The 24,114-nt window shown below is 35.4% G+C and overlaps 1 long non-coding RNA gene across 1 annotated transcript; it reads right to left on the bottom strand.

Moving 5' to 3' along the window:
• Nucleotides 1-5,476: 5,476 nt before the first annotated feature.
• LOC107986409 (uncharacterized) lies at nt 5,477-23,484 on the bottom strand. Its single transcript, XR_001742621.1, has 3 exons — nt 23,393-23,484; nt 22,967-23,056; nt 5,477-5,536 (listed from the first exon to the last, which is right to left on the bottom strand). It is a non-coding gene; the product is annotated as an uncharacterized LOC107986409 (long non-coding RNA).
• Nucleotides 23,485-24,114: the final 630 nt, after the last annotated feature.

The following is a 24,114-nucleotide window of genomic DNA, read 5'->3' as shown; positions in this document are numbered from 1 at the left end:
TTTCTTTTGAAGCTTATGTAGAGGTTTTGTAATTGTATGACAGTAAAAGCAAATCTTGGTTTATAACTTAGGGTTAAAAAATCCTGATTGTGTTCACACAGTAACCAATTGTCTGTTTGTCTATTTGTTGAGTTTTTATGGCCTTCTTTATATTCACAGTATTAAATTTATTGTGGTACAAATGGATGGTTAAGGCAAGCAGAAACGCATACTTGTCTAATTTAAATATGTATTTGCTTTTATTTTCTATTACATTTCAGCTCATTAATTTAATTTAGTACATTTTCTCCTGTGCAACTAGAATGTTTATTAACGTGCTTATAACACATAAATGAGCAAGCCACACCAAAATATAGATTTTTTAGTTAAGACTTAAAATTTCCACCAGATGGCAGCCCAACCCCTAAAATGCTAGAGCTTACTAGAAACAGTAGAATGAATATGAAAATTTAATACTTGAGTGTCTGATAAAATAAAATGTTTTTTAATCTCTTAAAAATTAGTTATAATATATTGAATTATATTTAAGTTATTAAATGGGTAGGTATATAGGTATGTTAATATTTTGTTTTTTAGTCTTGATCTTATTTCACATTAAAGTTAAGAAACAGTAAATAAAATTTTTTACTAGAGACTGCATATTGTTTTCAAAAGTAAATAATAACATTAAACAGTATGTTTTCCTGAATGATGCACAAATTTCAAAATATTAGTTATGTACGTAAGGATCAGTGAAGGCAAGTCATATTAATTATGTCGACGTACAGATTTTTTTTAAAATAATACACAATTGATAAGCGCTATCTCTCTACTAGGAAAAAATAAAATAATAAAAACATTGATAATTTTAATAAGACATGCTTTTTGAATATAGAGGCAGAAATTAATTTTAGTGCAAAAACTATATTTAGTTTGGGGAGGAAAGAGATATTTTTATAGAGGGGATAATGCTTTATCTGGGCCTCAAGGAAGGTAAAATCAGTATTTATACATATGGGAAAAGGGAGAAAGCTATTCAGGAAATGGAGACCAGTGTATGTAGAGCCAAGGGTGTGAGAAGTGTCCTGGGTTGTTTGGAAAATGTGTAAGTTTGGGAGTAATCAGAAAATAAAATGAGTGCATCAAAATCAAGAGACAGAAGAGAGAAAAATATGGTAGATGATGATTATGAAGGCCTTGGAAACATACTAAAAAGTTTTAAAGCATAAACTATTTTAAATAAATCCCATTGCATATTTTAAGCAATGAAAGATTAATTGGGAAGCTGGAAAATCAGAGGCAAATTGTGTGCCCTGGGAAACAGTTTATAGAGTCTGATTCAAACAATAGGATGGAAAATGAAATGAAAAGAAGGTGACAGATGAACAAATGCACATTTCATTGGCGACTTCTTGTTATACTCCTTCAGTCACTAATAAGGAACCAATGCTTGCTCTTGGTTCCCAGGAAAGTGCCAAAGACTGTCCTGGGTTATTGTTTATCCCTTTTGCCTGTTTTAATGAACAATAGCAGTATTATTTTGGTAAGGGAGAAAAAAAGTATTTCTGAGATTTTTAATTTGAGAGACAGGACCATGATTGCTTTAACCAAGGTAGAGAATGCGTAAGTAACAAGCTGAAATGATGTTAAAATGAAGGAAGGGAAGACAGTGGTAGTTATCTTAGATTTGATATATTGATCTTTGGAAAGACAACCTAGTTGTTATAGCTAATAAGTAGTTGGGAACACAGATGAGACTGAAACTTTATAGAGATCTGGGCTGTAACAAAGATTTGACAGTCAAATCTGAAAAGCAACCTTTTGGGAGTGAATGAGGTTGTCAACGATAGTAGTAGGGAAGTGAGTAAGGAAGGACCCCAGAGAAGGTTGACACTGAAGTAGAAAGAAAATACATACATGCACACATTAAATAATATAACATTAATACTATTTAATGTGTATTGAGGATTTATCATCGCTCAGATACTCAATAAAATGCTTTAAATTTTAAAGAATATTGTGTCCTCTAAACAATTCTCTGAGGCAATATTGCTATTCCAATTTCACAGATGAGGAAATAGGTACAGAGAAGTTAGAAAATGTGGACTAGATGACACAGCAAGGATGTGGTAAAGTCAAGTTCTAAACTTCTATTATCTGATTCTATACTTTGAGCTTTTCTTCTCCAGGTTGTACTGTCTTTTAGGATAAAGTTCTAACTTCTCACATATTTTCCTTCCTTAATAAAATGATGAATTACATTGACAAATGATAAAGCATGCTTTCATTTTTGCTATACACTCTAGTTGAGAATATTATATTAAGCTTTTGGTATTATAGTTCCCTCCTTCCCTCCCTTCCTTCCTCCTCTCTCTTTCTTTTCTTTCTTCTTTCTTTTCTCTCTCTCTCTCCCCCCTCTCTCTCTCTCTTTTGTGTTTCTTAGGATTTTTACCTCTATATCTGTAAGTAAGACTTGGTTAATTTTTTTTTTTGCTTGTTTGCTTTTTCTAGAAGATGTTTGATAAAAGATTCTGGGAATGTAGACTGTCCTTAAGTCTTATATGTATTTATAATTCTTACATGCATTTATATGTATTTCAACACATGAAAATCGGAGCAACTTCCTTAACCACGAGAGTGTCTGTTGTTTTTTTAGTTGTTGTTATTGCTGCCACTGTTGGTTTCTGTCATTCCTGGCTGGGAAAAACGTCAGTTTGACTTTAGACTTGGGTTGGAAGTAGGAGTCAGTGGAAAGAGCAGTTGACATTACAGGTTGGAGAGGAATTGATGGCAAATCCTGGTCCTGGCAACACAGCTATGAAAGGAGATGCTAACAGTGGGACACAGGTTGACCTTGGGATTCGGGTATATATCTCTCCTAAACAAAAGGAAGAGAAAAGAAAGAATGAGGATGCAGAGTAATTTCTTCTGGAAATTTCTATCTCCTGCAACAAAACTGGATTAAGCAATGGGTGAATAATTGTGGGCCTGGACATTTACCCATATCATTAATTCAGAAAAAAAAGGTGTGATAAACAATAGATAGACACCTTTTTTATAGAAAAGTTGGTTTTGAAATATAGTGCTGTGTAACTCCAGCACTGAATGTGGAATGATGTTGTAACCAAAGCAGAAATGCAAAATATGGAAGTTTATTTACTTTTCTCTCTCATGGAATTTCCTCATGCACTGGTACCCTTTGGGTGTGTGGAAAATGAATATTTGAAAACAAATATTTGCAAATTAATAAGTCAGGGTGTGTTTAGTGACTCTTGATTATTCATCATAAATGAAATCACATGACAACAAACAAATAACTAATAAAGAGTAGCAACACAAATTACTACCTAAGCTATCCTAAATGTAAAGGCAGGTGCTTTATATATCAATTATGTTTCATTTTTAACTAAAGATTTTACTTTTGTTCAAGATAATAACTATTGATTATGTATCCATGTATATGTATTGCCCAATACTGTAGCCATTAGCTACTTATTGCTAATTAATTTAAATTTACCTCAACTACATTTAAATACAAGGAAATATTCAATGACTTCAGCCATAATACCCACATTTCACGACCTCAAAATCCACAAGTGGTTAGTCACTACCACATTGTCTACTGAAGAAATAGAATATTTTTATTAATCAAGGCAGCCTTAATGTTCCTCTCTGCTTGACTAAACTTTATACAGGCTTTTTCCTATTTCTAATCTCTGAGTTCCCTTTTCTTAGAACATTTTTTTAGAAAACTTGTAATTATAAACTCATTATCTGTTCCTTTGAGATGTATGTAAATCTATTTAAAATCCTCTCGCTACTATTTAAACCCAGGAATTTCTTTCCCCAGGATCTGGGAACCATCTTCTTGAAATGTAAATATCAAGAATGATAGCACTCCTATCTCCCAGTCTTTGTAGGAGTGTAGGAGCCTAACTTCAGTGGGCATATCATTCCTGTGATAAAGATATGGGAAAGTTTATTTTTCCTTTGGGAACACCTACTAGCAAAAATAGCTTATGATCTCCCCCACTCCCCCAACTCCTTGACCAACTTTTAAAATCCTCCAGCCTTTTATTCCATTGTAGTTGAGTTCAAATTGAGTTCTTATCTGTCCTCTTGAATAAAATGTTCCTTGCCTATGTAATATTGATGCAATTTTTTCTTTGACATCATCAAAGTAGATAGTTGTATTACAAAGGGATCATCTATATTATGAAAAATGATAAAATGTTTTGTTAAAACTTGGCTGATACTAGAACATAGTCTTTCCTGGATTATCAAGAAAAAAAAAGTTAACCTTGTTTATATATGCTTCTATGTTCTTTGTGGTAAAACACTTATGCAGAGTAAAAAAAAATCCTATTTTCCTCAAAATGTGCAAGATTTAATGTGATAGACTTAAGAGCATTAGGAGCTATTGTTTCCTAAGCTACAATTTTAACTTCATTTTTAAATATAATGTTAGTGATAAAAGATACAAAACCAAGATAACCCAATTCACCTCTCTGTCTTTAAAAACAACCAGTAAAACTGTGGCATCAGTCTAAAAACTTCAAATTTACCATTCTAAAAAAGTAATTGGTGAGTGTTTTTTTTAATGTGTCTACAAAGACTAAGTAAATTAGAAGTAAATATTTGAATCAATTAGAATAAACCCCTATTTTTGTTTTTTTGGTTCCTTGAAATAGTGAGTTCAAAAGTGCATAGTAAACATATGCAGCATTGCACATATATGTATGGGATATGTGTGTTTATGATTGTACATAGGTACATGCATACACCTACAGATAGGTGTTGATATAATGTATTATACAATAATACATACATTTTTATGAAGAGAATACATTTTTGCAGACAGGTTGGCCTAATGACAATTGATATTATAATCATTACATAAGACATACTCATGATACATCATTTATTGCTTTTGGGTTTAATCCATTCACTCTGTAGAGAGGATATGAAAATACTATGTGGCAATCTCAGTGGAGAAGCATTTATATTTTTACATCCCCAATCTTTCATAGTTATCTGGTCCACAATTATTATCCCATATATTATGTTTATTGCCTTACAAAACAATGTAAAATAATGAATATCTTCTATTTTGAATGTATCTCAATTTATTTTCATAACATTTAAGTGACATTGCTGTAATTGTAAGCATATATGGTATAACAAGCTTTGAAAGAAAGACACCTCAGTTTTTCTAAGTAAAATTCAAGTGGTGGAAGCTGAAGTTAATGGCCATCCAGGGAGGGAACTGACCTGCCATGGGCAAGTGATATGCCCTAGGCATCAATCAGTTTGATTTACAGAGGCAACGGGGCTCATCGACTGGTCCAGCAAGTGGTTAAGTGTAGAAGGCTGGCCGATAAAGTTTGTAATGTTTAAAGCAAACTCTGCTGAGGAAGATCGTTCTTATTGAATTATCTAGAATGGTTAAATCTATTAAGTAAATATCCCAGGTTGTATGGTAATATTATAATTTACCTTACACTGGTACAGCATGGCATCGTTATCAGCATCTTTCTTGTAGTAATAATTAGTCTATCTATTAGGATAAAATAATATTGATTTAGTTTTTGGAAGAGCAACAGGAAACCCAATTCTTATTCAAAAATAGGGAATATATTGCAGAAACTAAATTATAGATATTAACGTATAACAGACATGTAGAAAAAGTCAGTATGTAACTCACATTCATATTATGTAGTAATGTAAACATCTAAGTGTATGGCCATCCTTATAAAAATCATAGTTTGATATTGGGCAGTTAATGAAGATCACTGCAGAATATAACACGAAGAAAGATAGCATGCTAGAGAGTAGTAAGAAGAAAAAATATTTGAAGTCAATGAAAGATCCAAGGCATGAGTGAGCCAGCGAAAAGCTTCTGGCAGGTTAGGTATAGATGAGTTCTATGTGCTTAAAAAGTACCTTTCCCCAAGTCAATATTGTATTTTTTTCTAGAGAAAAAAACTGAGTTTAAAAGTTTCTTTTATTATTATTGTTATTATTATACTTTAAGTTTTAGGGTACACGTGCACAACGTGCAGGTTTGTTACATATGTATACATGTGCCCTGCTGGTGTACTGCACCCATTAACTCATTATTTAGCATTAGGTATATCTCCTAAAGCTATCCTTCCCCCATCCCCCGACCCCACAACAGTCCCCAGAGTGTGATGTTCCCCTTCCTGTGTCCATGTATTCTCACTGTTCAATTCCCACCTATGAGTGAGAATATGCGGTGTTTGGTTTTTTGTTCTTGCGATAGTTTACTGAGAATGATGATTTCCAGTTTCATCCATGTCCCTACAAAGGACATGAACTCATCATTTTTTATGGCTGCATAGTATTCCATGGTGTATATGTGCCACATTTTCTTAATCCAGTCTATCATTGTTGGACATTTAGGTTGGTTCCAAGTCTTTGCTATTGCGAATAGTGCCGCAATAAACATACGTGTGCATGTGTCTTTATAGCAGCATGATTTATAGTCCTTTGGGTATATACCCAGTAATGGGATGGCTGGGTCAAATGGTATTTCTAGTTCTAGATCCCTGAGGAATCGCCACACTGACTTCCACAATGGTTGAACTAGTTTACAGTCCCACCAACAGTGTAAAAGTGTTCCTATTTCTCCACATCCTCTCCAGCACCTGTTGTTTCCTGACTTTTTAATGTTTGCCATTCTAACTGGTGTGAGATGGTATCTCATTGTGGTTTTGATTTGCATTTCTCTGATGGCCAGTGATGGTGAGCATTTTTTCATGTGTTTTTTGGCTGCTTAAATGTCTTCTTTTGAGAAGTGTCTGTTCATGTCCTTTGCCCACTTTTTGATGCGGTTGTTTGTTTTTTTCTTGTACATTTATTTGAGTTCATTGTAGATTCTGGATATTAGCCCTTTGTCAGTTGAGTAGGTTGTGAAAATTTTCTCCCATTTTGTAGGTTGCCTGTTCACTCCAGTGGTAGTTTCTTTTGCTGTGCAGAAGCTCTTTAGTTTAATTAGATCCCATTTGTCAATTTTGTCTTTTGTTGCCATTGCATTTGGTGTTTTAGACATGAAGTCCTTGCCCATGCCTATGTCCTGAATGGTAATGCCTAGGTTTTCTTCTAGGGTTTTTATGGTTTTAGGTCTAACATTTAAGTCTTTAATCCATCTTGAATTAATTTTTGTATAAGGTGTAAGGAAGGGATCCAGTTTCAGCTTTCTACATATGGCTAGCCAGTTTTCCCAGCACCATTTGTTAAATAGGGAATCCTTTCCCCATTGCTTGTTTTTCTCAGGTTTGTCAAAGATCAGATAGTTGTAGATATGCAGCGATATTTCTGAGGGCTCTGTTCTGTTCCATTGGTCTATATCTCTGTTTTGGTACCAGTACCATGCTGTTTTAGTTACTGTAGCCTTGTAGTATAGTTTGAAGTCAGGTAGCATGATGCCTCCAGCTTTGTTCTTTTGGCTTAGGATTGACTTGGTGATGTGGGCTCTTTTTTGGTTCCATATGAATTTTAAAGTAGTTTTTTCCAATTATATGAAGAAAGTCATTGGTAGCTTGATGAGGATGGCATTGAATCTATAAATTACCTTGGGCAGTATGGCCATTTTCACGATATTGATTCTTCCTACCCATGAGCATGGAATGTTCTTCCATTTGTTTGTATCCTCTTTTATTTCATTGAGCAGTGGCTTATAGTTCTCCTTGAAGAGGTCCTTCACATCCCTTCTAAGTTGGATTCCTAAGTATTTTATTCTCTTTGAAGCAATTGTGAATGGGAGTTCACTCATGATTTGGCTCTCTGTTTGTCTGTTATTGGTTTATAAGAATGCTTGGCACTCCTCGAGAAGAGCAACTCCAAGACACATAATTGTCAGATTCACCAAAGTTGAAATGAAGGAAAAAATGTTAAGGGGAGCCAGAGAGAAAGGTCGGGTTACCCACAAAGGGAAGCCCATCAGACTAACAGCGGATCTCTCAGCAGAAACTCTACAAGCCAGAAGAGAGTGGGGGCCAATATTCAACATTCTTAAAGAAAATAATTTTCAACCCAGAATTTCATATCCAGCCAAACTAAGCTTCATAAGTGAAGGAGAAATAAAATACTTTACAGACAAGCAAATGCTGAGAGATTCTGTCACCACCAGGCCTGCCCTAAAAGAGCTCCTGAAGGAAGCACTAAACATGGAAAGGCACAACCAGTACCAGCCACTGCAAAATCATGCCAAAATGTAAAGACCATCGAGACTAGGAAGAAACTGCATCAACTAACCAGCAAAATCACCAGCTAACATCATAATGACAGGATCAAATTCACACATAACAATATTAACTTTAAGTGTAAATGGACTAAATGCTCCAATTAAAAGACACAGACTGGTAAATTGGATAAAGAGTCAAGACCCATCAGCGTGCTGTATTCAGGAAACCCATCTCATGTGCAGAGACACACATAGGCTCAAAATAAAAGGATGGAGGAAGATCTACCAAGCAAATGGAAAACAAAAAAAGGCAGGGGTTGCAATCCTAGTCTCTGATAAAACAGACTTTAAACCAACAAAGATCAAAAGAGACAAAGAAGGCCATTACATAATGGTAAAGGGATCAATTCAACAGGAAGAGCTAACTATCCTAACTATATATGCACCCAATACAGGAGCACCCAGATTCATAAAGCAAGTCCTGAGTGACCTACAAGGAGACTTAGACTCCCACACAATAATAATGGGAGACTTTAACACCCCACTGTCAACATTAGACAGATCAACGAGACAAAGTTAACAAGGATACCCAGGAACTGAACTCAGCTCTGCACCAAGCAGACCTAATAGACATCTACAGAACTCTCCACCCCAAATCAACAGAATATACATTTTTTTCAGCACCACACCACACCTATTCCAAAATTGACCACGTACTTGGAAGTAAAGCTCTCCTCAGCAAATGTAAAAGAACAGAAATTATAACAAACTGTCTCTCTGACCACAGTGCAATAAAATTGGAACTCAGGATTAAGAAACTCACTCAAAACCGCTCAACTACATGGAAACTGAGCAACCTGCTCCTGAATGACTACTGGGTACATAACGAAATGAAGGCAGAAATAAAGATGTTCCTTGAAACCAACGAGAACAAAGACACAACATACCAGAATCTCTGGGACACATTCAAAGCAGTGTGTAGAGGGAAATTTATAGCACTAAATGCCCACAAGAGAAAGCAGGAAAGATTCAAAATTGACACCTTAACATCACAATTAAAAGAACTAGAAAAGCAAGAGCAAACACATTCAAAAGCTAGCAGAAGGCAAGAAATAACTAAAATCAGAGCAGAACTGAAGGAAATAGAGACACAAAAAACCCTTCAAAAAATTAATGAATCCAGGAGCTGGTTTTTTGAAAGGATCAACAAAATTGATAGACTGCTAGCAAGACTAATAAAGAAAAAAAGAGAGAAGAATCAAATAGACGCAATAAAAAATGATAAAGGGGATATCACCACCGATCCCACAGAAATACAAACTACCATCAGAGAATACTACAAACACCTCTATGCAAACAAACTAGAAAATCTAGAAGAAATGGATAAATTCCTCGACACATACACTCTCCCAAGACTAAACCAGGAAGAAGTTGAATCTCTAAATAGACCAATAACAGGATAAGCAATAATCAATAGCTTACCAACCAAAAAGAATCCAGGACCAGATGGATTCACAGCCAAATTCTACCAGAGGTAGAAGGAGGAACTGGTACCATTCCTTCTGAAACTATTCCAATCAATAGAAAAAGAGGGAATCCTCCCTAACTCATTTTATGAGGCCAGCATCATCCTGATACCAAAGCCGGGCAGAGACACAACCAAAAAAGAGAATTTTAGACCAATATCCTTGATGAATATTGATGCAAAAATCCTCAATAAAATACTGGCAAACCGAATCCAGCAGCACATCAAAAAGCTTATCCACCATGATCAAGTGGGCTTCATCCCTGGGATGCAAGACTGGTTCAATATACACAAATCAATAAATGTAATCCAGCATATAAACAGAACCAAAGACAAAAACCACATGATTATCTCAATAGATGCAGAAAAGGCCTTTGACAAAATTCAACAACCCTTCATGCTAAAAACTCTCAATAAATTGGGTATTGATGGGACGTATTTCAAAGTAAAAAGAGCTATCTATGACAAACCCACAGCCAATATCTTACTGAATGGGCAAAAACTGGAAGCATTCCCTTTGAAAACTGGCACAAGGCAGGGATGCCCTCTCTCACCACTCCTATTCAACATAGTGTTGGAAGTTCTGGCTAGGGCAATTAGGCAGGAGAAGGAAATCAAGGGTATTCAATTAGGGAAAGAGGAAGTCAAATTGTCCCTGTTTGCAGACGACATGATTGTCTATCTAGAAAACCCCATTGTCTCAGCCCAAAATCTCCTTAAGCTGATAAGCAACTTCAGCAATGTCTCAGGATACAAAATCAATGTACAAAAATCACAAGCATTCTTATACACCAATAACAGACAAACAGAGAGCCAAATCATGAGTGAACTCCCATTCACAATTGCTTCAAAGAGAATATTTCTTTTCTTGTTCACCAATCCTCATCTATTTTCTTCATCCATTCACTCTAGCAATTTCTCAAATGACTAATTCAAAAACCTCTTTCTTTCTCTCCACAGCTATTGATTTTGCTGCTTTTTCTTTTTCCCATAGCAAATATCAAAACAATCAAGAATATTGTCACAATTTCCTGTCTCTACATCTGAACACCTATTTGTATCTGAGAACATATTCTTTCTTTTTGCAACTGCAGATAAACTCTGTGACCTACCTATGGCGGCCTGTTGCATTTATGTGTCTACTGAATCCCATCTTCTCTCACTTATTCATGGGTTTTGTTCCAGTGATTTTCTTTGATTTCTTTTGTTTCACAGTGTTGACCTCCCCTTGACTAAACAAACACGCTATTATTTCTCGTATTAAAAAAACTTGCTAAACCTTCCTCATTAATTCTCTTTTTCTGCTCCTTTCCCCAGAAAGAAAATTGTCAAAAGTGGTGATAGTGTGTCTTTACTCATTTTCTCCTTTTATTCTTTGCAAATGAATACTCCAATTAGGTGATTTCCCACCAATCTGCTAATTTTTTATCATTGATCAATATCAATTCTCTATTCAGCAATATTTATTAGAGGAGTATTTATTCTTTTTCATAAAGTACTTTCTTCATTGAACTTTATTCACACTATTCTCCTAATTTAATTTTTACTTCACTTGCTGCTTCATCTTAGTCTATATTTTTCTCATCATCTTCCAGATTCTCTTAATAAAACATGGAGTTTTCTGCAGCTCATGGCTTGGAGTCCACCCTTACACCTAACTTTCTCTTTTATCTACTTTCCAAATGTCCTTTAAATGCTAATAAATTACAATATAATTTTTTCATTCTGGAATTCTCTGCAGCACCCAGATGGATACAGCCAACTGCAATGGACTGAATGCCTATGTCCCCCTAAAATTCATATGCTGAAATCCAAAACATGTGATGGTATTAGGAGAAGGGGCCTTTGGGAAGTGATTAGGTCATGAAGGCGTTCTTTCTGCATGGGATAGTTCCCTTATAAAAGAGACAACAGAAAAATCCCTTACCTTTTTATCCATGTGAGGTTACAGTGAAAAAAATGGCTATCTGTGAGGGAGCAGGCCCTCTACAGAACCAAATCTGTTGGTGCCTTGATCTTGAACTTCCCAGCCTCCAGAAGAGTGAGCAATATATTTATGTTGTTTATAAGTACCCACTCTGTGGTATTCTGTTATAGCAGCCTGAGTAGACTAAGACCTCAACTTTCTTTAAAACATTGTTATTTTGTTCTGTTCTGTTCTGTTCAACCATTGTGGAAGTCAGTGTGGCGATTCCTCAAGGATCTAGAACTAGAAATACCATTTGACCCAGCCATCCCATTACTGGGTATATACCCAAAGGATTACAAATCATGCTGCTATAAAGACACATGCACACGTATGTTTATTGCGGCACTATTCACAATAGCAAAGACTTGGAACCAACCCAAATGTCCAACAATGATAGACTGGATGAAGAAAATGTGGCACATATACACCATGGAATACTATGCAGCCATAAAAAGTGTTGAGTTCATGTCCTTTGTAGGGACATGGTTGAAGCTGGAAACCATCATTCTCAGCAAACTATCGCAAGGACAAAAAACAAACACCGCATGTTCTCACTCATAGGTGGGAACTGAACAATGAGAACACATGGACACAGGAAGGGGAACATCACACACCAGGGCCTGTTGTGGGGTGTGGGGAGGGGGGAGGGATAGCATTAGGAGATACACCTAATGTTAAATGACAAGTTAATGGGTGCAGCACACCAACATGGCCCATGTATACATATGTAACAAACCTGCATGTTGTGCCCATGTACCCTATAACTTAAAGTATAATTAAAAATAAAAAAGACATTGTTAGTTGACCATGAACAATACTAGATGATACCACGACAACATAGAAAAATGTATTTGGAAGCCAAACTTTAATTTCATGTGACATATGCTATAAAGAGCTAAGAAAATTTAAGGAGTACTTGTTTTCTTTCTTTTTTTTTAAACAAAATAGAATCCACTATGTTGGAGACTTGATATTATGTGCTTGTCAAACTATTCTCTTTTATAAATGAGGATACAATCTAGTGTGCTCATGGACATCAAATGGATTTGCATGAAAAGTTACATTTTATTTGTGATTTTTAAAACATCACAGTAACCATAAACTGAGCTGGTTTACTCAACTTTTCATTGTTTTGTTGTTGTTGTTCTTGGTTATAATACTTGCAAACTATGGAAAATCACATTGACTAACAGGATAAACTCTATATGCATTTTATTTCCCAAGGAATTGTGTTCACTTTATTTTTGCTGAAGGTTGTATGTTAAATCAATGTCATGTTTTTATACTACTTCTTGAGTAGGAAATTCAGATTTTAAATTCTATTATTTCCTCCAAAATGAAGAGCAGTGCTTAGTTAAATAAAAGATTGATGATATGTTTCAAAACTTATTATTTGAATATAAATAGCTACATCACTGAGAGCATGCCAGATTGAACTTCTGACATTTTTCCTTCAATCTTCAAATTTCCGTTTTAATCCTCAGTATATGGTAATTTGATTATTACAGTGGCTCAGGTCATGAACTTGTGAAGTTATTTCTGATTCCTCTTTTTCTGTCTCACCTCAAATTTACTTTCAAAAATATCCAAATTCTGACAACATCTTACTACATACACCAACGCAACCCTAATCCAAGCCACCTTGATCTCCTCGATTATTGAAACAGAAATGTAATCGATCATCTTGTCCCAAAGAGTATTCTCAACACTACAGCCAGAGTGAACACTTTAATTCTTAAGTCAGATCCTCTCATCTTATGTTTAATTTTTTCCAACGAATTTCCATCACACTCTCATAGTTATGATGATAAAAGCCAACAAAAATTCAAAGTCTTCAGGGCCCTAGAAGACACAATCTGGCAAGACATTAACTCTTTTAACAAATTAATGCTCTTTTCTGGTCGATTATTTTCCTGTTCCATTCTTCTGGCATTCTGCAAAGGCTCCAGGCATTGTTAAGCCTAAGGTCCTTTGCCTTTACTGTTTTGTGTGCATGAAAACTTGAGTCTCAGGTATTTCATGGCATCTTCTGATATCTTTTTTCAGATTAGATTACTCAAATGTAACCCTTACAGGGTTAATATAGAAAAATATAGTGATGCTTTTCCCAATATTTATCTCTATGTTACTTTACTCAATAAATCTTACCACCCTTGGCAGAACATACAGATATATATATATCTATTCTGTGTGTGTGTGTGTGTGTGTATGTGTATATATATAGTATATATATATACACTATATATATACTATATATATAATATATATAGTATATATATACACTATATATATACTATATATATAATATATATAGTATATATATATAAATACATATATCCTATATACATATTACCTGTAGATATCCTGTGTGTATATGCATTTAATAAATATGTGCTGTTAAATAATGAATAAATGGATGGATATTGACAATTAATTTCTAAAAGAATGGTGTTAATCAGTAAAGCAAAAAGAAGTATTATGTTTGAAACGTGAATAGGACTTTATTATTTCATATAAACTGCATTTTTATTTAAATGAAATATACAATAATATTGTTTTTGTCTTTTTTTTTCTTTTCTTTCCTTTTTTTTTTTTCGTTGTGTTTTTGAGGCAGGGTCTCACTCTGTCACTCAGGCTGGAATGCAGTGGTGCTATCCTGGCTCACTGCAACCTCTGACCACTGGGCTCAAGCCATCCTGCCACCTCAGCCTTCCAAGTAGCTGGGAACATAAGCACACACCACCATTCCTGGCTAAGTTTTTTTGTATTTTTATTAGAGACGGAGTCTCACCATGTTGCCCAGGCTAGTCTCAGACTCCTGAGCTCAAGCAATCTGCCTACATCAGCCTCCCAAAGTGCTGGGATTATAGGCGTGAGCAACTGCACCGGGCTCCAATAATATTGCATGTATTAATTTTAGTACATTCTCTATAGATGCTTTTCCTCTCAGTTTTTGTATTCAAATGTGTGTGATAAATATAATAATTCATGATACCTAAATTGAATTATTGGATTAAATTCAATTGCAAATATAACTACACTTAATACACATGTAATTCCATATCAATATCTAAGAGCTGACTTATGTATTATAAAAATTCTTAAGTTTCCTTCCATAGCAAAACATACAAAGAAAAAGAGAATCAGTACTGAAGCAATTTTTCTTGGTGAATTCTAAGAAAATTTCAAAAAGATACTGCTTTACAGATAATATGGTGCTCAGAACGGGATTTAGCATGGAATGCATAAGCCAAAATAAATACCACACACAGACACACACATACACATGCTGACTAAAAAAAAGTGGAGACATATCTGCAAGTATAGCTCAGCAGCATAAAAAATATGTTAATGTTGGTAAATATGTTGCTAAGCTATAATTCTGTTTTTATTTGACATATGTAATATAATATGGCTTTAAAAATTTATACTAATCAGCATCTAGCACTATGCTAACTATGACTAAATCTATATTCATATACGTTCCCATATCATGAAGAATTAGTATATACAAATGTCCAGCTTTCATAGTTTTAACACATTGTTTTTCAGAATGTACACCAGCAGGTTTTCTCCTAATTTCTAGCATATATTTAATTAGTTAATATTTGCTTTTAGTATTTGCAGTGTACTGAAAGAACTACCTTGGTACTGGAAACATTTGGGTCATGTATGTGAATGCCATTCTTCAATTTGTGATTATCAGAAAGATCCGAGGACTATGCTTGTGTGTGTGACAGCTTCTTCAATGTCTTTTGCTTGCAATTCTGAATCGAGCCAACTTCTGTTTCAAGTAGTTGCACACTGGGATTGTCTGCTTTCAGTACCACACAGTGCTCTCACATCGTTTGATGTGTACTACAGTGATTTATTTTAGTGACTCTCCCCTGTGTATACAGTTACATTATTGCACATTCCCCTTAGAATAAGTGCCAGAATAGGCTGCTAGAATCCGTCTCTTCTCAGCTCCTGCTCATTTCATTGTTAGTCCCAGTACCAACTTTTTTGCTATAGTATGTGTCATAGTTCATTTGCATTACCATAAAGAAACACCTGAAGCTGGGTAATTTATAAAAAGAGGTTTATTGGCTGGGCATGGTGGCTCATGCCTGTAATCACAGAACTGTGGGAGGCTGAGGTGGGTGGATCACGAGGTCAGGAAATCGAAACCATCCTGGCTAACATGGTGAAACCCGGTCTCTACTAAAAATACAAAAAAAATTTAGTCAGGCGTGGTGGCACGTGACTGTAGTCCCAGCTACATGGGAGGCTGAGGCAGGAGAATCACTTGAACCCCAGAGGCGGAGGTTGCAGTGAGCCAGGATCACGCCACTGCACTCCAACTTGAGCAACAGAGCGAGACTCCATCGGTTTTTAGAATAAGTGCCAGAATAGGCCATTTTGTTCATGGTTCTGCAGGGTTTCAGGAAACTTCCACCAATGAAAAAAAGTGTAGGGGAGCAGGCATCACATAGGGAGAGGAAGGAAGCAAGAATGAGAGAGGAACGGAAGTTGCCAGGCTCTTTTTAACAATCAGTCCTTGTAGCAATTAACACAGTGCAAACTCACTCATTCCTGTGAGAATGGCATTCATAAGAGATCTGCTCTCATGAACCAAAGGATCTACCTCAACCAGGCCCTACCTCCAACACTGGAGATCAAATTTCACCATAAGATTTGGAGGAGACAAATATCCAAACCATATCAGCATGCTATAGGAGTTCTTTAAAAATTACCATGCTATGTATAATTGCATAATAAAACCACAGACTTACGAGAAGAAAGGGAGGTTGGGAGCACCACCCTCAAAACTTCCTTGGTAACATATAAAATAAAAATGTAGAACATAATAACACTTTTTTTAACCTAATAAATTGTATATATATATATGTGTGTATGTGTGTGTGTGTGTGTGTATAAAATAAATGTGGCTTGACCTTGAAAAAGGTCTGAAGTTGACTCACAGAACTCTGCATAAGAAAGATTACAATTTGTGAGTTATTGGAAGTCATGGAAGGAGAGTCATCTGATTTGGACTGAATAGATGATACCAGATGTGAGTGGGTGAGCTCATAAGATGCAGGGAACTTAAGTCACTGGTATTTGTTTGGGATATGTGCATATGTGTGTTTGATGTATTCTTATGTGGCTCTGTCCAGGTGAGTGTAGTTTTCTGGGCTCACCTGATGTTTCTTGCAGGCAAAATTGCACATAAGCAAACTTGCAATTCACATGGTGTTTGCATTGTTTCCTGGTATATTGTTTTGCAACACAGTCACATTTACAAAGCAAATATTATAACAAAACTGACTGCACTTATTTTTTGTAGATAAGCTTGCATTACCTTCAAAATGCTGAATTTTAACCACGTCTTGTTTCCAAAATTTTGACTTTTCAATTATTGCTCACTCAATTAATTTATGTTAAAATAAAAGAAAAAGAACAGGAAAAATAAGTAAAAAAAAGTTAAATCCAATCACACAATTTACTTGATGGATGAACTGCTCATAAAAACAAATGTTGTTTTGTATCATAATAAATGTTTAAATTGCTTACTATTTACATAAACCCAGAGTAGAATCAAAATGTGGAGAAAACACATGACTGTAATCATTGTTAAAAAAAATTTAGGCAATAAGGAATATGGCAACTGAAAGGATGTTTGTAGGTAACGAATCTTATCAAAAATGTTGTAGTTGGGATATTTGAATGATATTCTAAAGGAGTCTGGTAAAGAATAAAGAGCAGATTATTAGGCCAAATAAAAATGGCAGTAATACAAGTTAAGCACCTAGGCTGCACCCAGAAAATTCATCAATAGTTATCAGTTTCTAAGCAAACAACCCAATTCTTATGATCATCTCCAAACTCAAGGGTGATGGATATGAGAAAGAAGAATAAAAAAGCACGAAGGGACGTCAGTCTAACATGTCAGAAATATTATGTAGGTTTTCTGGTATAGGGAATAAGGAAAAACGGAGTTATTTGGCTACCATATAGTTTTAAGGGAAGGTATTAAGCTAGAGTAGACTGTGTTGGAATATTAGAATAATAAACTCACTTTAAAATACCTGTGGCTAAGCCAGAAAAGATTGTGTGTGTGTGTGTGTGTGTGTGTTACATACTCATTGTGCATGTGTTCATGAGTGAGACATCTTGTGTTCAAAGTCACCAGGAGCACTGGTTTACTGAAACTGTGATCATCTTGGGGACTGGGTCCACTCTCTGTATTATGTGAATTTCTAATCACTGAGGCAGTGGGAAGAGGGCAGTGAAGGATTAGGCACCAGCAATTCAGTGCTCTGGCCTGAATTTGAAGCACATTATTTCTACTCAAAATTCATTGGCCCAAAGTAATCATATGACACTCCTTCCTTCAATTGATGGGAGAAAGAAAATATAATATTACTAGGAAACCAGTAGGAAAGAAAAATCAGATATGGCTGAGTTCTTGAAGTCTGTATGTTTACCACAGATAGAGACTGTGTTTCAGGAGAATGCAAAATCTCATTTATCAACATGTTGGTAAAAGCTGAGAGTTGGGAGAAGCTGAGTCAGGGCCTGCATGTCTGACATAATGTAAAGGAGTCTTGGAACACGTCTGGGGACCAGGGTCTAAAACCCCTTGTGGCCTTTGGAACACTAAGCTCTGTGCTAAATGGTGGAAGGCTACCCTGACGCACCATCATCTAAGCCCAGGGCATAAAATCCCTCGTGGCTTGGATAGAATCCAGGGCTCGTGGCTCTGGAATGTGTCTAGACTTGCTCCTTGCTCTCCCAGGATCCATTTTATCTTCGAGTTAAAAGAACCTGCTCTCCATTATCAAGTAGCAGAGCAAATGCTAAACCACCACAGCTGTAAATCATGTGCTTAATGCAACGCTCCCTTTCGACCTCCACATTCTCACCACCTGTTTCTTTGTTGGATTACCAATAAATAGCATGAGCTCTCAGAGCTCAGGGCCTTTGCAGCCTCCACAATCACGATGGCACCCTGGTCCCACTTTACTTCTCAAACTGTCTTTTTCTCAATCCTTTGACTCCACTGGACTTCATCGCCCCCAAGACCTAGTGTTGGGTCTGATCACCCCAACATCAACATAAGCAAAATCAGGCTTAAGGGTAAAACAAACACTTCCAGCCATAAGCATAAGACACACACTGCCAGAACATAAGATAATTGATTCAGTTATTCATTAATTCTCTAAGGAGAAACCACCTTTGTTGACTAGCAGAGGCCTGAAAATGCAGACTTGGGCAAGAGCCTCAGAAATCATCAGAATCATCCCATGTTATCTTTATGACGTGTTAACATTGTGGTTGCACGTGCATTGGACAACATGATTTTTGTGGAATGTTAGCTTTTAATGGAAGGTGGAGGTTCATTACAATTATGGTTTTCAGCCTTCTTTTGTAACCCTTGATGAATAATTATTTAATATTTTATAATAAATTTCATAAAGATATTTCTTCTATTTCAGGCATTGTTATGTTAAAGTGAGTGCTACTGGATTAATATCCAGAAGATAACTCCAAAAAAACTTTTGAGAGTCCATTTGAAGCTAAATATTAATATTTAGGTTAAAATAATCAATCGACAAAACTTTGTATTTATATATTTCTTTTCATTTTATTCTTCTATTCTTCTGACAAGTATCAGCCAAGGGCTCATAAAATATCATTCCACATTTTTTTCTTTTTATATTACTCTTCTCATTTATATATTGCACTATTTTTTTGAGTAAATTAAAGTAATAAACTATTTCCTGTCAAAAACTACTTCATTTCTTTTACAATATGTTTCACTAGCTTATTCAAGTAAAGTTTATGACTAAATAGAAAACCCACATGCATTTGAAATTAATTTTGTCTGTTTGTGTTAGTGTATATTTAAATATCTGGTCAGGTTATGTGGTTAATATCGCAAGGCATCTAGTTGAAGTAAAGCATATGTTTTAATCTCTGAACTATGAAATAGGTAAATGAGGTATTCTAGAATTAAATCATTGTGCAAAATATTTACATTATTTACAATGATTTTGTTAATATAGTAAAGTATTACGTTTTAAAAGTGCATTGGATAATACCTCAATCATATAAGATGGTGGTGCCATAAAATTAGAGAATGATCGTATGTAACAAATAGCTATGCAAAGAAGAATATTTGCATGGACTTTAAAAGCTGATGTAATAACATTCTAAGTGAGTGTCATATTATGTGAACAGTCCTATTTATTTATCGGAAGATCGAATAGGTCATAGATCCTATAAAGCTGCAGAAGGTTTCTGAAAAATTGAACTCCACATTTATATCAATCAAAATTTTGGCTATCAATTGCCTACTTGTGCTAAAAATAGTGTAAAGCACTATATATACAAAATAAAGTCATGCCAGCTTAGTACACATTCTGAAAGGTTTGAAATCCAGATGGAGATGACAAGTCAGTATTAAATAAAAAGTAGAACAGTGGGTAGCTGACATTTTGACCGGCAAGTGAGGCATTAAGAAAATATTTATTTATCTATTTAATTAATTAATTTTTTTGAGACAGAATCTCGTTCTGTTGCCCAGGCTGGAGTGCAATGGTGTGATCTCACCTCATTGCAACCTCTGCCTCCCAGGTTCATGCGATTCTCACGCCTCAGCTTCCCGGGTAGCTGGGATTACAGGCACCCGCCATCATGACCGGCTAATTTTTCTATTTTTGTAGAGATAGGGTTTCACCATGTTGGCCAGGCTGGTCTTGAACTCCTGACCTCAGGTGATCCTCTCACCTCGGCCTCCCAAAGTGCTGGGATTATAGGCGTGAGCCACTGTGCTCAGCCCAGCATTAAGAAAATATAAGCTAAAGGCAAGAGAGAGGACTGTGAAGATATACATAGCTTCATAGATGCATATGTGTGTGTGTGTATATATATATGCAGCTATATATATGTATATGTGTATATGTATAGCTATATATATGTATATATATGTATATATGTATAGCTTCATATATGGACACGTGTATATACATATACATACACACACACACACATATATATATATAAAAATTAGAGGATGGGTGGTAATTTGAGCGGACACTTAGAAAGCCACATTTAAAAAATTAACCACCAAAAATACAAAAATTTTTAAAAAAACTACTGTATTTGGTCAAATCATTATCAATTCTATAATGATTCTTGACTATCATAAATCCCATGCCATGGTACAACTCAGTAGTTACACAGAGATTATTTAACATTTCTAATCCAGTGTTTTAATTGCAATATTAGAACACTCAGTCTTGGTATGAGCAATTTTCTCACAACTAATGTGAAACACTTCTATTGTTATATGTAAATTATGGGGGAATTTTGCTTGATGTTTTCAGGGGACATACAAGATATCTTAAAAATGAAAAGGTTTTGGTTTTCTAGAAAACCTTCAAGCATCTGGAACTTGAGCTTCCTACTGCAGTATTGAAATAGTTTCAAGGGGTGTGCAAGTGAACCCAGCTTGTGCAATAAAACTTGTCTCTCCTCCCAATTTCTGTCTTTAGTTCTTCCCTGGCTGAAATTAGAGACTGACAATAAAGACAGTTATGTAAGTTCTTGACCGTTCCAGCCATGCCCACTTGCAATAATAACTTATATTTACATTAACATGTATTCAAACTGTACCCATTGCTTGAGATTTGCTTGGGATCCTTTTCCCCATTAACAGGAAGATCTGCCGGGCACGGTGAGTCATGCCTGAAATCACAGCACTTTAGGAGGCCGAGGCAGGTGGATCACCTGAGGTCAGGAGTTTGAGACCAGCCTGACCAACATGGAGAAACCCCATCTCTACTAAAAATACAAAATTAGCCAGGCGTGGTGGTGCATGCCTGTAATCCCAGCTACTCGGGAGACCGAGGCAGGAGAATTGCTTGAACCCGGGAGGCAGAGGTTGCGGTGAACCGAGATCCTGCCATTGCACTCCAGCCTGGTCAACAAGAGCGAAACTCCATCTCAGAAACAAAAACAAAAACAAAAAAAAAAAAAAAAAAAAAAGAAAAGAGGAAGGTCTGCATTAACTTGCAAATAAATCTCAAATTCCCTTCCACTATTAACCTTCTAGTTACTAGTTGCTATCTATTGAAGATAATTTATGCGATTCCAGACAATTAGCCTGCTTCATGAGCCCTCTTTATCTGTAGTATTCACTTGGTCCCCCTTAGTGAGTTCTTTCTTGGTCCAATTACCAGGCTGTATTTAATATACTTACTGAGGCTGTAGCTCAATGAACTCAGGTTTTAATTGTTTCATTTAAATCTGTGTCATCTGGGGTTTTTTTAATGGCTAACCCTTGATTTGAGCTTCTCATAATCCGACTCACTCAGTCAAGCATTTGTGATCTGTGGCTCAACAGGCTATGCATAGGTTTCTAAGGATGAGTGACATCAAGAATCTGGCTACCAAACAACACTCTGTGTTTTTGAATCTGTAAGTGAGATTCATTTCACATAGCTTCAGTCTGTTTTTAATGGGTTCAATATCCCTTCATCCAGACATAGATTAGATATTCAATAATTGTTTAATGGACTTAGTGGCTGCCTATGGTGTGTCACATTTTAAGTATTCCCATGAGCCTTTTCAATACTTAACTATGTACATCAGTTATGATAATTTGAATTAGTAAATAAAAATGCTGAGAACTAAGGATTGTGATCCCGCCAAAAACAGCAGACCAGAAAATTCAAACTTTGTACTATATGACACTCCTATGGAGATTTTGACAGCCTGGAGTGAGTGAGTAGCAAGCCCAAAATCTTGACTGGTATAAGTGAAGTAAAGGATCTTTTTGTAAAGTTCTCTTTTCTTTTTGTTCCCATAGCATTTTCTCCTCCATGACTTTAGCATGCATACTTTGATCTCTGCATCCTCTGTTCTTCATGCAGTTTGGTACCAAAATTCGCAAGGACAGATATTACACTTTATTAACTATTTTTACTATCAATGTGCCACAATATTGGCCCCATGTAGAAGTTTAATAAATGTTGGTTAAAGGCACATTCCAGCTATGAAAGAAATCCAACTCTTAAATATTTATGTTTAAAGAATTTTTTTGATGAGAGTATATTTTGAATATGGACCCGTTTGTATATGAGTAACACTTTTATTCATTTATACATACATATTTTGACATAATTTACATCACATTAGCTTATTCCTGAATGGAGTGTACTTTATTTTTCTAATTTTTTTATCATCTAATAATCCTATAGAATTTGGAAACCTCACTAATCTTAAAATTCTTACCTACCTATTGGTTTTTGATATGAAGTTTCTTTGGATGCAAAGTACCTCATCAGTATGTGAAGCAAACCTTCTATTTTCTGTCAGTTCCATAGATCTGTTAAAGGTAAAAAAAAACTATCATCAATACATATAATATATTCATACAAAGTTTTTTCTAGGTGGAAAGTATAAAAGATGAACAACCCCTGCCCTGTGGTTTTGAAAAAGTATCTGGTGCTCTTAGGCATCTTTATGAACAATCCAAGTACAACTGCATTGCAAAATTAATGAGCCAAGAAAATGAGTCTTGTTAGTTTTCCACTCTTTGACTTCTAACATTACACTTGTTCCTACAGTTAACATTAAAAGCACTACATTAAATTTACATGAAACATAGCTTTGTCTTCTGATCTATTGGAAGTTGACTAAACTCTTATAATAATAATCTTACCTGGCTCTATGTCATTATTTATAGGAAAATAATAAAGATTAAAAAATAAATGAATCTGGAAACTACAAGCCACAAGGATGGCTGTGGAAATGAGTGAGAGTATAATCTTGAGTTTCAAAAACATGGGCTCTATGATTTGTAAAGTTATTTCAATCTTGTAGATATTTTTGGAACTAAGCAATATGACTCACCCTTCCTAATACCAGTAGAAATATAAAGCATAAAGTTGGAACTCTGGCTACTTCATGAAAATATTTATCTTGGAATTGACACTTAGATGCTCTGACCTGTTGGATTTTGAACAGAAAAATATACTACAGACAAATGGGCTATACATTTCTGTCACTGCATCTTGTTATATTGCTGGCACACAGATGAAGTCAGAGGCAGCAGAAACCACTGATGGGGAGAGCACAAATGAAGCAGTGCTGAGGAAAACTACCTCTTGCCAGGAAAGAGAAGCTTGAAGATGACATTGATTGTGAACACAGATTTCAATTTCGGTTCACAAGGCAGAGATTGCACAATATGGCAGCTTAAAAATATATACAATTTTGCATTGAAAAAACAATAAAATATATGTTTACAGGCAAACACACACATATATCATAATGTGTGTGTGTGTTGTATGTGTGTCACCTATAGAAAGAGCACTGAAACTCTTAATATCCTTATTTGAATAATGGCAAATAAAAGGAAACCATTTCAGCTACTTTGTACCT

The sequence above is a fragment of the Homo sapiens genome, chromosome 5, assembly GCF_000001405.40.
Source record: "Homo sapiens chromosome 5, GRCh38.p14 Primary Assembly".
Lineage (NCBI taxonomy): Eukaryota > Metazoa > Chordata > Mammalia > Primates > Hominidae > Homo > Homo sapiens.
Note: the sequence above shows the minus strand (reverse complement) of the source record. Positions and strands in the feature narration are given on the sequence as shown.